Source organism: Homo sapiens, chromosome 6 (genome assembly GCF_000001405.40).
Source record: "Homo sapiens chromosome 6, GRCh38.p14 Primary Assembly".
NCBI classification, from domain to species: Eukaryota; Metazoa; Chordata; class Mammalia; order Primates; family Hominidae; genus Homo; species Homo sapiens.
The window spans coordinates 108611642-108626895 of NC_000006.12; the positions used below are offsets into that span (position 1 = coordinate 108611642).

The 15254-nt window shown below is 38.1% G+C and overlaps 1 protein-coding gene and 1 pseudogene across 13 annotated transcripts in view; one reads left to right on the top strand and one right to left on the bottom strand.

The window, feature by feature from the left end:
• FOXO3 (forkhead box O3) overlaps nt 1-15254 on the top strand; it is a 124950-nt gene that overhangs the window by 51817 nt on the left and 57879 nt on the right. The gene's annotated exons all lie outside the window — the stretch shown is intronic.
• SUMO2P8 (SUMO2 pseudogene 8) lies at nt 5760-6768 on the bottom strand (annotated as a pseudogene).

Below are 15254 nucleotides of genomic sequence, written 5' to 3' on the forward strand. Positions count from 1 at the left end.
CTTATTTGTAAATTGTATATCTTCTTTGGTGACGTGTCTATTGAAATCTTTTGCCTTTTTTTTTTTTTTAAAGGATTGTATTCACACCATTTAGTTAGGAATTTCTTATGTATTCTGAATACATGTCTTTTATCAGAAATAAGTATTGCCAGTACTTTTTCTTGTTTGTGGATTGCTTATTCATTTTGTTAACAGTGTCCTAACAACTAAAGAGCTAAGTTTTAGCTCTTAAATTTAAGACTTTGATCCATTTGGAGATAATTTTAATATTTTGTATGAGTCTGGATTCATTTATCCATTGAACTTCCTTGACACCTTCGTGTATTTCTAGACCCTCTGTTCTATTGATTGCATGTTTTCTTTCTTATACTAATACTACATTGGTCTTTATTACTGTAGCTTTATTTTGTCAGGTAGTATAACTCTTCCAATTTAGTTCTTTTTCAAAATCATTTGTACTGTTCTAGATCTAGTCATCTTTAATTTCTCTCAGCAGTGTTTATATGTTTTAAAATACAATTCTTACATACTGTTTGTGAAATTTATCCCCAAGAGCTTCATCTTTTGATACTATTGTAAATGATATTTTAAAAATTAGTTTCCATTTGTTTAGTATGTAAAAATATAATTAATTGGGTTTTGTGTATTGACCTTAATGTTGTAACTGCTAAACTCATGTATTAGTTGTAATACCCTTTTTGTAGAGTTCTTAGGATTTTTTTACATTGATGATCATGTCTATAAATAGAGTTTTCTGGCCAGGCGCGGTGGCTCATGCCTGTAATCCCAGGACTTTGGGAGGCTGAGGTGGGCAGATCACCTGAGGTAAGGAGTTTGAGACCAGCCTGGCCAAGATGGTGAAACCCCATCTCTACTAGAAATACAAAAATTAGCTGGGCGTGGTGGTGGGCACCTGTAATCCCGGCTACTCAGGAGGCTGTGGCAGAAGAATTGCTTGAACCCGGGAGGCAGAGGTTGCAGTGAGCCAAGATTGTGCCATTGCACTCCAGCCTGGGTGACAATAGCGAAACTCTGTCTCAAAAAAAAAATAAAAAAAAAATTTTTTTTCTTCCTTTCTAATATATACTGTATACACTTTATTTCTTTTTCTTGCCTTATTTCACTGGCCAGGACCTCCAATACATTGTTGAATAGCAGTGGTGAAAGCAGAGATCCTTACCATTTTTCTCATCTTAAGGGGAAAGCATTCAGTCTTTCACTGTTAAGTATCATGTTAGGTGTAAGTTTGTCACATATTTCCTTTATCAGGCTGAGGTAGTTTTCTCTATTCCTATGTGTTGAGTAGTTTTTGTTTTTTAAATTATGAGTGGATATTGAATTTTGTCAGATGCTTTTTCCTCACCTGTTGAGAAGATCAGATGGTTTTTCTTTTTCAGTCTTTTAATATGATGAAATACATTGACTGATTTGCAATGTTAAACCAACCTTACATTCCTGGGATAAATCCCACCTGGTCTTGATATGTTACCATGAGATTCAAGTAGCTAAAATTTTGTTAAGGATTTTTGTGTCTGTCTTCATGAGGAATATTGATCTATACATTTCTTATAATATCTTTGCCTGTTTTTGGTACCAGGGTAATGGTGGTCTTATAACATGAGTTGGAAAGTGTTCCCTGTTCTGCTCTGGTAGCACTGTAGTATCTCTTCCTTAAATGTTTGGTAGAATTCAACGGCAGTTAAGCCATCAGAGCCTGGAGTTTTTTTGTGTGTGAGGAAATGTTTAACTGCTAATTCAATTTATTTCATAGATACAATGCTGTTGGCTTGTCTGTTTCTTCTTGAATGAGTTTTGGTAGTCTGTGTCTTTTAAGGAATTTGCCCATTTTATTTAAGTTGTCTAATTTATGGGCATAAAGTCATTTATAATGTTCTCTTATTATCCTTTTAATAGATATATCATCTGTAGTGATTTCATTTTCATTCCTGATGTTGATAATTTGTCTTAACTCCCTTTCCCCCTCATTCCTTATCTGTTTAGTGCCTTGCAATTTCATTGATCTTTTAAACGAATTAACATTTGCTTCCACTGACTTTTCCCCCGTTACTTTTATGTTTTTACTTCCATTGATTTTTTTTTTCTCTTTTAATCTTTTATTTCTTTTCTTCTGCATGTTGTGGGTTTAATTTGCTCTTTTTCTGGCATCTTAAGGTGAAACCTTAGATCATTTACTTGAGACCTTCCTTCCTAATATAAATGTTGAAAGCTATACATTCCTTGCTACAACTGCTATAGATGCATCCAGTGAAGTTTGTTTTTGCATTCAATTCAAAATTGTTTCTATTTTACCTGTAATTACTTTGGTCTGCAGTTTGTTTAGAAGTTAATTTTTAAATTTCCAAGTATTTGGAGGATTTTCTGGATATTTTTCTATTACTGTTTTCTAACTAAATTCTTTTGTGGTTGGAGAATCTGTTTTGTGTTGTTTTAAATTTGTTGAGACTTGTTTTATGAGCCAAGAATATTGTCTATCTTATTGAATGTTTTCCATGTACTTAAAAAGAATGTGTTTTCTGCTGTTTTGGGTGATTTGTTCTATAAATGTGAATTAGGTCAAGTTAGTCAAGTTCATTTTCTCACTACATGTTCTATCAATTACTGTGAAAGGAATGTTGAAATATCCAGCTGTAATTGTGGATTTGTCTACTTCAATTCTATTAGATTTTGCTTCATGTTTTTAACAAACTTTAATTGAAAAATAATAATTGTATACTGCTTTATGTATTTTGAAAATCTATTATTAGGCAGATTAACATTTAAGGTTGTTATATCCTCCTGATACATTGACTCTTCTATTATGAATTGTCTCTCTTCATCCTTGGCAGTATTTGTTGTTGAAATCTGTTCATTAATAACTGTTAATAATATAGTTACTCCAGCTTTCTTTTGACTACTGTTTGTATGGCAGATCTTTTTTCCTTGTACTTCTAATCTATCTGTGTCTTTATATTTAAAGTGGATTCCATGCAGATAGCAAATTGTTGGGTGTTTTTTAATCCAATCTGACAATCTCTGGCTTTTATTTGGAGGGTTTTTTGTTGATGTTTTGGTTTTTTTTTGTTTTTTATTTTTTGCGTTTTTTTCAAAGACCATTTTGTTTAATGTAATTATATTTGGGTTTAAATCTGTTATCTTGCTATTAGTTTTCTATTTGTCCCATTTGTTCTTTGTGTCCTATTCCCCCTTTTCTTGCCTTCTCTTGAGTTAGGTGGTTTTGTTTGGTTTTAATGAACCCGTGTTATCTCCACTCTTGGCTTATTAGGTACATCTCTTTGTTATTTTTTAATGGTTGCGCTAGGATTTACACATCTTTAACTGATGATAGTCAATCTTCTGCCACTTTACATGGAGTATAAAATCCTTGAAACAATATACAGCCACTTCTCCCTTATTATTCTTAGTGCTATTTTCTTCTACATGTATGTTATAAGCCCCAGAATATATTGTTATTTTTGCCTTAGATAGTCATTATCTTTTAAAGAGATTGAAGATAAGAAAATATTGTCTATATTTACTCATATATTGATCATTCCCCGCTCTTCATTCCTTTAAGTTCAGATGCCCATCTGGTATCATTTTCTCTCTGCTTGATGAAACTACTTTTTAAAATATCTCTTTGAATGTACCACTGCTGGCATTGATTCTCATTTTTGTTTGCCTGAAAGAGTCTTTATTTTATCTTCGTTTTTGAAAGACACTTTTAATAGGTATAAATTTCTAGATTGGTAGCTTTTTCCCTCTCTTAGTAAGGATGTTCCTCCATTGTCTCACATAGTCTCTGAAAAGTGATTTGCTCATTCTATATTTCTCTTAATGTCTTTTTTCTTCTGCCGCTTTTAAGTATTTTTTTTTTGTATCACTGGTTTTTATTATTGTGATGTGCCCTCTTTAATTACATCTGTTCTTTTTGGAGTTTGTTGAGTTTTTCTTGGATCTGAGTGTTTATAGTTTTTTATAAAAAAAATTTAAAATCCAGCCATTATTTCTTCAGATTTTTTTTCCATCCTCTCCCTCTTTCCTCTTCTTTTATGATCTCAATTACACATATGTTAGACAATTTAGTATTGTCCCCATAGATCACTGGATACTCTCAATTTCATTTTCAGTCTTTCCCTGTGCTTCATTTGGGTTAGTTGGTTAGTTGCTGTTGTTGTGTCTTATAATTTACTGATCTTTCTGCAATGTTTAATTTGCTGTTAATCCCATCCAGTGTATTTTTAAATTTATTTTTCTTTACTAGAAGTACCACTGGGTTTATTTCTTTTGTATCTTCCAATTTCCTGCCTTTTTTCCCTCTACCTTCTTACTACATAGAGTATATTTATAATTTTTTTTTTTCCTTTGAGAATGAGTCTCACTCTGTCACCCAGGCTGGAGTGCAATGGCGCAATCTTGGCTCATTGCAACCTCTGTCTCCCCAGTTCAAGCGATTCTCCCACCTCAGCCTCTTGAGTAGCTGGGACTACAGGTATGTGCCATCACGCCCAACTAAGGTTTTTTTTTTTTTTTTTTTTTTTTTTGAGATAGAGTCTCATTCTGTCGCCCAGGCTTGAGTGCAGTGGCGCAGTCTCGGCTCACTGCAAGCTCCGCCTCGTGGGTTCACACCATTCTCCTACCTCAGCCTCCCGAGTAGCTGGGACTACAGGCACCCACCACCACGCCTGGCTAATTTTTTTATTTTTTAGAGACGGGGTTTCACCATGTTAGCCAAGATGGTCTCGATCTCCTGACCTTGTGATCCACCCGCCTCTGCCTCCCAAAAGTGCTGGGATTACAGGCGTGAGCCACCACACCCGGCCAATGTTTGTATTTTTTAGTAGAAATGGGGTTTCGCTGTGTTGGCCAGGCTGGTCTCAACTCCTGGCCTCAAGCAATCCTCCCAACTCTGCTTCTCAAAGTGCTGGGATTACAGGTGTGAGCCACTGCGCCCAGCCATATTTATAACTTTTTAACAGCTTTGTTGAGACCTAATTCACATTGCCATATAATTTACCAATTTAAAGTTTGCAAATTGATGGTTTTTAGTATATTCACAGAGTTGTGCAACTATCTGTTGTGCAACCACAATCTAATTTTAGAATACTTTCGTCACCCCACAAAGAAACCTTGTATCCATTAGCGGTCATTTCCCATGTACCCCACTCCTTTTCAGCCTATATTGATATGAAATGTCAGTCTATAGGGACTCTTCTGGACATTTCATATCAATGGAATCATATAATAGGTAGTACTTTGTGAGTGCCTTCTTTCACTTAGTATGTTTTCCAGGTTCATCCATGTTGGTAGCATTTATCAGTACTTAATTTCTTTTTATTGCTAAATAATAATCCATTATATGGATATACTACATTTTATTTATTCATCAGTTGCTGGGCATTTGAATTGTTTCCAGTTTTTAGCTATTATGAATAATGCTGCTGTGAACATTTGTTACCAGTTTTTATGTGGACATATTATTTTAATGTCTTTGGGTATATGCCTAGGAGGGAATTGCTGGGTCATGTGGTAACTCTCTTTAACCTTTTGAGGAACTGCCAAGTTGTTTTTTAAAGAAGCTGCACTGTTATAATAGCTAGTTCAGTGCCCTTGTCTGCTAGTCCCATCATCTTGTCTCATTTCTGGGTCTGTTAATTGATTGATTATTTTCATTTTTATGGGTCATATTTTCCTGTTCCTTTGCTATGCCTGGTAATTTTTACTTGGATACCAGGCATTGTGAATTTTACATAGTTTTTTTTTCATATTAAACAAGAAGTTTATTTAAACAGTAAGACGCTTGACTTAAAGAGAAAACTATATAGGATTCTTTTTTTTTTAGAGTAGTTTATCCCTAGATAAAGACAGATTGCCCTACATATAACAGCTACATACAAAAAAGTTATAAAATTGTCCTTGGTTTTACAGTGATCAATTAAAAACATGAAAATTCTCCAGTTGAACAAGGTATGCAAGGATTTTTATGGGTTTTTTGTTTGTTTGTTTGTTGTTGTTAAAACAGAGCAAAATAACTTACTGGAATATGAAGAGCAGGATGAGCATGCCACTAATGGAGAGTGGGGGTGTTTTCACAGAATCAGTGTTTTTCCCCATCCCGTCTCCACTTGATGTCAATCAAAACATACCGTTGGCTGTTAAAAAAAAAATGCAGTGTGCTTGTGCACATATACCAGTTACTTTTATGTACAGTAAAAGAATGGAGAAGGAGGAAATGAACAAACAGAGAAAACTATGCTGTAGTAGTCAGGGATGTATTGGAACCAAATTGCAGTTTTCTACTTGAGAAGGTAATCGTGGTCTGCGAGAACAGAGTTCTGGAATGAAGAAGCAGGTTCCCTTCTCAGTAGACACCTCCCATCTGCTGTTGGAACACGTCAATCGTATCTTCATTCTCCATTTCCAACTGTACAGGTGTGTCTTTTTCATTGATTTGGTTGCCGGTCAAATCAGAGTCTGATCTGCCTCATGGACAATCCCTGTCATTCACAATAGGCTTTCATTAGTTTACTAAGTGGTGTATGCCTCTTAATCTTAAACTGCACCACAGAACCACCCTGCCCCACCACCTTCAAATTAATATGATTGTTCTTAGTCTTGACTCCTTCCTGGGGCTTTTTGTCAGCCATGATGAGCACCGGTTTCTCCTCAGCTGCCGCTTCACAAAAGAGATATCAGGTCCACACTGAACGAGCACATGAGCAGCACCAGGAGCCACAGAAGAAGGAGGCAGCAGCAGCAGATGAAGGAGAGGGAATTTTACTTCATTGAGTGCTAGATTTTGTTGTATTCTTTTCAAAAGCGCTAGACTTTGTTCTGGCATGCAGTTAAGTTACTTGGAATCAGTGGTATCGTTTTGAAGCTAGCATGTAAACTTTGTTAGGCTGGCTCCAGAGCACCCATTAGGAATGATGTAGCCCGAGTACTTATCTGCCGTAAGGCAGTATTCTTCTGAGGACTTTACCTGATGTTGTGTGTCTTGTGAATTATTTTTGTTTTTGTTGCTGGTGGAAACATGAACTATTGCTAGCTTTATGTGAACTGTAGGACTTCTTAGGCCAACTGCTTTCTGGTGCTCGTATCCCTAACTTTAAGTAGTTTCCTTTGAGAGATGTGCAGATCAGTCTAAGACTCTAGGAACCGACCCTTTTGTGCTGCTCTCTTCTCCTGGGTGTTCTGCCCTTCCAATTCTAGCCGTTTTGGCCTCCTTGAATGTGGCTTCTCTGATTACTAATCTGTGTTACCTCTACTCAGTAAGACTGACATGCTCTGTGTTCCCCCTTCTCTTTGCTGTGGCTTGGACACTACCTCCTGGCAGTAAGTTCAGGCAAATAAGTTCAAGGCTTGTCTCATATGTTTCACTGTTCTCAGAAATTAAGTCCTATACTGCCTGTTGTCCAATGTCTGAAAACAGTTGTCTTGTGTTTTGCCTGGTTTTCTAGTTGTTCCTCTATCATAGATGGAATCCATAATAAATATGATGCCAATGCCAAAATCTGCTACTATATTACTCTTTAAAGCAGAGACTGTATAGGAAGAGGAAAAAAGAAATCAGTGTAACCGTGGGGGCAAGGCAGGAAGCATTCTGTTTATGTAACACAGACGTGGCATTCTTTACTTTCTAACTTAGGACATTTGTGATTTGAAGAAGAGACACCTGAATTTTCAATATGTTAGTCTTTGTTGGAATAATTGGCTCTTCTCATTCTTTAGTCATCAAATAATACTTATTAAATACCAACTAAGTGCTTTGTGCCCTGCTAGGCATTACTTCTCTTTATTCTACTTCTTAACAGTTGGAATATGCCAAACAAATGAAATAAAAATAGTTTTCCTATTCTAGTTACAGGTTGGATTCTTGGATTTATCTCCCAAGCTTTGACATTCAGAAACTGAAAGTGGAATATAGTGTATTCTCAGATGTAAAGTTGATCTCATTTCCTCACTGGCCATCTGTTTATTTGCGTCTAAGAATAACAAAACTTTCATAGTCATATCTGTATTTTTTAATTACTAAAAATAATGAATGGACTGAACCATGCTTGCCCCACTTTTGAAACAATTCCTTCTATAGACTGTTGCAGTAGGAAGCTAATACCCCTGATTAAGAATAAAGACCAGACCTACATAAGCATATGTTGTATTGGTGTATCTGAAGTCATGAGGATGTGATTAATGGTCCTTAAGAGTTTTAATTTGGCGTGTCTTAATGCCTAAATCTCACTTAAGCTTGGTTGCAAAGCCTGGCAAATCAGTCTTCTGTACATGGCAAGCTAAGATGTGGCACCATCTTCTTGAGGTTTCATATCCTAAACCTGTCTGTCCTTACAGGTTAAATTCAAAGGATAGGGCCAAGCTTGATTTGCTGTAGTCATAGTGAATCATCACAGATCCATTCTTAGTGCAGAAGAGTTAAATAATTCCTTGGCCAAGAGCATGGTGCCTTCCCCAGACCAATTTCTAACAGTGTCCTCTGTTAGATCTTTAAGTTAATAAATTCTTTTATTAGATTTTTGGGTCAGAAAAACAGACTATGCTTGTACTCAGGAGCCCAGAAATACATAATATAATTGACTAATTCCTGTCTTTGAGGTCTTAACGTGGTTTCATGTGCCTTTTGATTTGTTTTTACATGTGGATCATTTTCCCTTAACACTTTAATATGATACAATTTTTGTCTATCGTTTTTCTTAAATAGGAGGGAGAAAATTTTTTTTAGTAGGAAAATATCTGGTGGTAAGTGGCATCTTTTTATTCCATGTGGGATGCAGAAGTTTCTCCCAAAAACTGAAGTGACCTGCTTTTTGCAGATAGGACCCCTGTATTTCTCCCATATTACTTTATAGCTGGTAGATGGTAGGGCTGTACACAGCAAATGGGTTTGAATGCATGATGGTTTTCTGGTGGAGCTGAGATAATTAGTATTATGAAGCCACGCTTCTGATTGTGAGAATGAGAACATCAAGTCATTATTTATCTTGGAAAGAACGAATAATTTGTTTATAGTAATAACAATTTTCTTTTATTTTTCTTTCTCTTAGTCAATAGCTGCTGCTGTTGGCAGCTTATTATGAAAAGATTTCAAGTTGTAGTTTTTAACCTGGGGTGGGAGTAGGGGAGAAGAAAATTAATATCGTAAATGTTTTTACTTGATAAAAGTTTTATTTGATACAGAGCCTATACTGGTGTTTTTATTGAATAGTGTTTTATTGCTGACATTCAATACTCTCTTTGCCTGTAGCCTCCCACGTTATCCAAAATGAAGGCACTTCTTAGATGTTTCAATGAATGATACAACCAAAAATATTAAAATGCCTATTTAAGTCATATCTTATTTAAAGCCCCATTTCAAAGGAGGATTTTGAGGATAATTAGTATTTTAATTGTTAAAGTTAGATAATTTTGTTTGGATGGAAAATCTATGTTCCTGTGAAATTGGGGTTTATGAAATAAGATTGGAAAAAAATAGAGTGTATAATTGGGCACATTCTGTACTGCTTAGTGAATCACCAAACGAGTGTAATCACCATTAAGCACTTTAAAAGCTATGCTTGTATGTCCTCGCTCTGCCTGCAGAGCTAGGAGTGCCCACGAGGAACAGCAGTTCATTCAGGCTGTAGTCATTGGGGTGACTCGTGGAACCCCTGCCTGTGTGAGTAAGCCCGCTGCCTTGCCAACTGCCTGCTGTGTGAGTCTCAAAGACATCAGATGTCATCAAGCCACAAGGACTTCTTGGTCATTCTTAAGGCCATGGCAGGAGCACAGTTCAAAATCCAATTCACAAGGCAACGTCTGGAAGAAAGAATCAAGTATGTGTGTAGTGCATGATGTACCTCAGCTACTGTAGTGAAAAATTGTTGGGATGAGTCTTTCACCATGTTAGTGTTTTTTTTTGTTTTGTTTTGTTTTTTGAGACAGAGTCTTCCTCTGTCACCCAGGCTGGTGTGCAGTGCTAAATATCCTGCAGTGCATAGGAGAGGCCCACAGCAGATGTGTCCAGCTCAAAATGCCAGTAGTGCCAGGGCTGAGAAACCTACCTGAAGCCTCACAGTGGCATGGTCCGTTTCAGAAGTATGTGGGAGAGAAAATTGAAGGTGAGAGGTCTGTAGCTCTCCTGAAGTCAGGCCACATAAGTACTTTGCCAGGTAGGTAGTGCCTAGTGACAGGGATGTACTAGAAAGAATTCCTCTTGAGCTTGGCCTTGGGTCTCGTGCAGACATGTTCATGTGACATTAGGGGAGGCTGTGGGCCTCAGGCAGCTAAGGAGTAACTGGCAAGTTTTGTATGGAGAGTCGGGAAGACAGAAGCAGGGGCAGCCGGGAGTGGTGGCTTACCTAGTAATCCCAGTACTTTGTGAGGCCAAGGCGGGTGGATCACTTGAGATCAGGCGTTTGAGACCATCCTAGCCTGGCCAATATGATGAAAGCCCATCTCTACTAACAATACAAAAAAATTAGCTGGGTGTGGTGGCGCATGCCTGTCATCCCAGCCACTTGCGAGGCTGAGGCAGGAGAGTCGCTTGAACCCAGGAAGTGGAGGTTGCAGTGAGCCCAAATCATGCCACTGCACTCCAGCCTGGGCGACAGAGCAAGACTGTCTCAAAAAAAAAAAAAAAAAAAAAAAAGGCAGGGATATCTGAGACTTAAGTTCCTCTTGGAGAGCTGGAGGGTCAGGAGAGCGAAGCTTTCTATCTTGCTTTGTACCTGAGATCTCCTTGAATCAGGGTGGGCAGGGAGAGAGAAGGGATCTGTTCAGACATTTCCTTTTGGGGTCAAATGAGAGGAAGGAGTCCTTGCCCCTTGGAGAATTACTGCAAGGATCTGGTTGAGTTGAGAATTTGTTTCCCCCACCAGTATTGTTTTTGGTGTTTTTTTGTTTTGTTTTATTTGTTTTGTTTTGTTTTAACATCTCTGTTTCCTTCCCCTTTCTGTTGTTGCTCCTTCCTCCTCCCACTCCAACTACCACACAAATCCTGACAGGAGCCTTTCTGCCCCTCTAGGGAAGGGGCCCGTGTGAGGAACTCTTACTGGACGCCCCCTTCCCTGTTGCTGTGCTGATCTTACACATCAGTTTCCACGGATCCCATGTGAATCAGTTGTCTTCCTCATTTACTCTGAGCAAGGGTGGCAGCAGCAATAGCAGAAGACGTAGATGCAGTGACTCATTTTGCATGATGTCTGCAAGAGAGCCGGGCCTCCCGTGTGCTGTGGCTCTCGTTCAGGCATTGCTTCAGAAACTTGATTCTTCTGGAATTGTGCATAAGAGGGCCTTTTAGAAAAAAAAAAAAAAAAAAGCTGGAAGAGTTCCCCTTCCTGAGCTTCAGTGGAAGCAACAGGAGGGTGGGCCACGTCCAGGACAGTGGGAGAGCAAGGATGGACCCTCTGTGTCCACCTCCAGTGTGTGGCACTGTTTTCCATCTCATCTTGGACATATCATGGGGCTACAGCATGCCTCAGAAGCCTGCCAGAACCTAGTGATGGTTTCCAGCATCTGGGTTTGGGGAGGACTGTGGTGATGCGCTAGGGATAGCCATCTGGAAGGGGTGGGGCAGAGACAGCAGGAGCCGTAGTCGTCTCAGGAGCCTACTCTGATTAGCTTATAAGTTGGCCTCTTTTCATGATTTCTGGGTCATTGGTGAGTGGATAGGAGTTATAGGATCCTTTGTGGGTGAGTAGAAGATACTGTGGCAGATAGGTTTTACTGAACCCACCTGCACATGTAAATCTTTCCTTTTTAATGTGTCACCTCTTCAGTTTGGGTGGAGAAGCTTGCCACCCCCAGGTTCATCCCTAAGCATTGTGGTAGGCTCAGGACTAACAGACACTAGCTCAGCCCCATTGAGGGCCCCCAGGCTAGGCTTCAGCTTTGGGAAAGCTTGTTTTCTCCTTGGGCAGGCCTTGTCAGACGTTTTGCTCCTGGGTGTTTGATGTTTTGATGTCTGTACTATACAAAGCCACATGGGAAGGCAAAGGAATACACCCCTTTGTATAAATGACAGTCATAACAAATGAAGTATATACCAGTTTGTGCTGTCTGTCAAGGAGTAATTCATCTCAGCTAGTAAAATAAAGGGGAAGGGAAGGAAATTCAGGTCTTTAGCTATGCATTCATAAACTGGACTTAAGAAGAGCCTTCCTCCTCTTATAATGCTAACTGCTCTTAATATTTCCTTCTTAATGAACAGTTGATATAAGAGTTTTCTCCTTTCATCTAAGAAATACAGAACAATCTGCAAGTTTTCTTAGTTGTTTGTTAAATGGACTTCGAAATGATTGAGAAATTCGTATTTCTCAGCGAAAATAAGTATTAAGTTAATGGACAAGTAGCAGTCCTTGTTGCCACCAAGATTTTGCATCTGAATTGTATATATAAACTGTGTCAGGAATATCATAAAATCATGTTGAGGCTGCAGGGACAAGGAAATTTCATCTCATGAATCTGTTTGATGTTTTCGGGATGTCCTGAGAGAAAAATTCTTTGACCTGCCTAGTGAGCAAGGTCTAAGTTTGTACACCCAGGTCACATTGTACCCTGGGCTTTCCAAAGATTTATCCTGCATCTGAGCCAAAGGCTTTTGAAGCCTGTGGTTGCTGGAATTTTAGGGTGTATCTCTTTGCTTCTTCAGATGAGACATTTCTTAAGGTAGAATAATGGTTAAAAAAAAAAAAACCTCTCAGTTTACTCTAGAAAGATACAGCATTTTTGGTACAAATCCAAGGAAGTCCAAAGAGGATCAGGTTTTATAATTATATTTTAATATGTGAAAGGAGAAACCTGTTTTATCAGGCCAGTAGGTTTTTTGCTTAATAAATAGTGGCAAGAAGAAAGCTATGGGCCCAGCTGGAATGGGTGCAGTTTTTAGAAAAGATTATTTGTAGTTGTTGGGCACATCCTTGCATGTGGACTTTGAAATAAGAAATTAAATCACCACCTTATTTTTGCAGGAAATAATCCAAATATAAAAAGTTAAAGTTCGTATTGTACTTTGGTGAAGCTTTAGATATATTTTATATTTCTTAAAATAAACTTTTTTTCTATGCATAAAAGTGGAGGTCAGATGAATTACAAGTGCATTCTTAACTGAGTGGAAATGGGTGCTGGTGTTTCATATATACATATAAATTTTTTTTGCAGTTGTTTAACTTTTTTTTTATAAAGAGTCTTGCTCTGTTGCCCAGGTTGGAGTGTAGTGGCACAAGCATAGCTTACTGCAACTGTGAACTTTACCTGAGCCTCTGGAGTAGCTGGAATTGGAGATACAAGCCACCACGCTCAGTGTTTTTTGTTTTGTTTTGTTTTGTTTTTTAAAGAGATGGGATATTGCTTTGTTTCCCAGGCTGGTCTTGAATTCATGGGCTCAAATGATCCTCTTGTCTCAGCCTCCCAAGCAGCCGGAATTATAGGTGCAAGCCACTGCACCTGGCTGCTTGACATTTTTATAGACTCATACTAAAAAGTTTATTCATTGAATGAGTACTGTGTGCATAGGGTTAAATTTATCTGACGTTTGTTATAATTTAAACAGGAGTGTTGATAAAACTGTGTAAAATGAATTAGCATATACTTGCCATTATGTTTTTATCTTAATAATTGTTATGTAGTTTCTATGAAAAGTTCAGTTACTTAACATTTCCATGCTTTTTTGTGTTTGCTTTATTTAACCTTAAAAGAGTGATTGAAGTAATAGTTTTGTTAGGTCATTAGATTGGTGATCTCCCCTTTTGTATAGTCAAATTTAATTTCATTGTTTAAGATTGAAAACTAGTGCAAATTCTAGTTTGATCACAGGACCACAGTTAAAGGTGCATTCACATATCTCATATAAGATACCTATTTTCACTGTATTAATCATTTGCATTAATCAATAAATTTTAACTTTTAAAAGATTTGATGGTTAAAAAGATGATGGAAGGAATTATTTCTCTAAAACTAAGGAAATCCTTGCTCTGGGAAGCTGTGTTGAGAAGAGTTCTAAGCTCTGCTGCCTGTGTCAGTGTTCTCTGGAAAGACCTCTCTTGGAAGGATGCTGTGATGTGGAGTCAGGAGGTCAGGACCCAGCCCTACCCTCCCTACCACCTGCCAGCTGTGTGGCCTTGAGTGAGCCAACAACTTTGCCAGGAGTCATTTGCCTTATCTTTAAAATAAAAGATCACTACCATGTCCTGGGTTGTTTAAGTGAGATTATGTAGTATTAGTAGGGTGCCTCCCACCACAGGTCCTCAGTACATTGAGGTTTCTTTCCCTGCCTCCTGCCTCCTTGCAAGGAAAGCCAGAGCACTTTGACTTAGAATTGTGTCTGAATTCAGCTGGTGTGTTGCATAAGCTTGGTTATCTGCTTTTCCTCTCAGTTCTTCCTAGGTAGAGGTGAGGGTGAGCGGGGGAGCTTCATGCAGAGGAAATAGTCTGAGGCTATTTAGTGTAGAAGCATACTTCAGTGTGATCCTGGGATGTCTAGAAAAGGCTAGATTATGTCCAGTATACACTTTTTAAACAGCTACCATTTTAATGTTTTGGTACTGGGAAATGTGTTAGTTGAAAATTTCACTTACGAGTAATCCTTTTATTTCTCTATGGTAACAAGACAGGTAAGGCATATCAGTTGGCCCAGACTCATTGGTCCTCAATGACTGACTGCCGGACTCAGAGTTGAGGGTCTGATCTCAGAGGACGCAGGTTGTGTTGCCAGCCCAGATACCTATGACACCCTTTCCTAGCAAGTGGACGCTGTTTTCTGAAATATCTGTCACTACCTTGAGGCAATCCTCATTATTTTAATCTTTATTCTTAGGCTAATGTCTTGAGCCATGTATCAGAGAGAGACAGGCAGGTTGTTGATTTTTGAGATGAAGAACAACTATCTGGCCAGGGAGAGAAAGAGAAAATCGGCTTATAAGTTAGAATGGTACAGAGTGCTCTGCCTTCTCAGATTATTTTGTTTCCAAGAATCACTGATTATATAGCTTTTTTTTTTAAGTTTAAGCCCATACCCATTCTGCATATTTCAGAGTGAAATGTCCTTTCGGGACAATCTTATTAAATCACTAATCTGAAATTTTATGTTCCCTAGTTGGCCATGCCAGTATTTTGGTTAGGGTTTTAGGTGATTTTTATATCCACTGTAAACTTGGATATAACTTACCATTAACCAGATACTTAAAACCAGGGTATTTTCCTAAGGTTTAACATTGGAAGTGGTATGTGAGCTGAGCCTTGAAGGGTGACACCAAGTTTTTTGACAC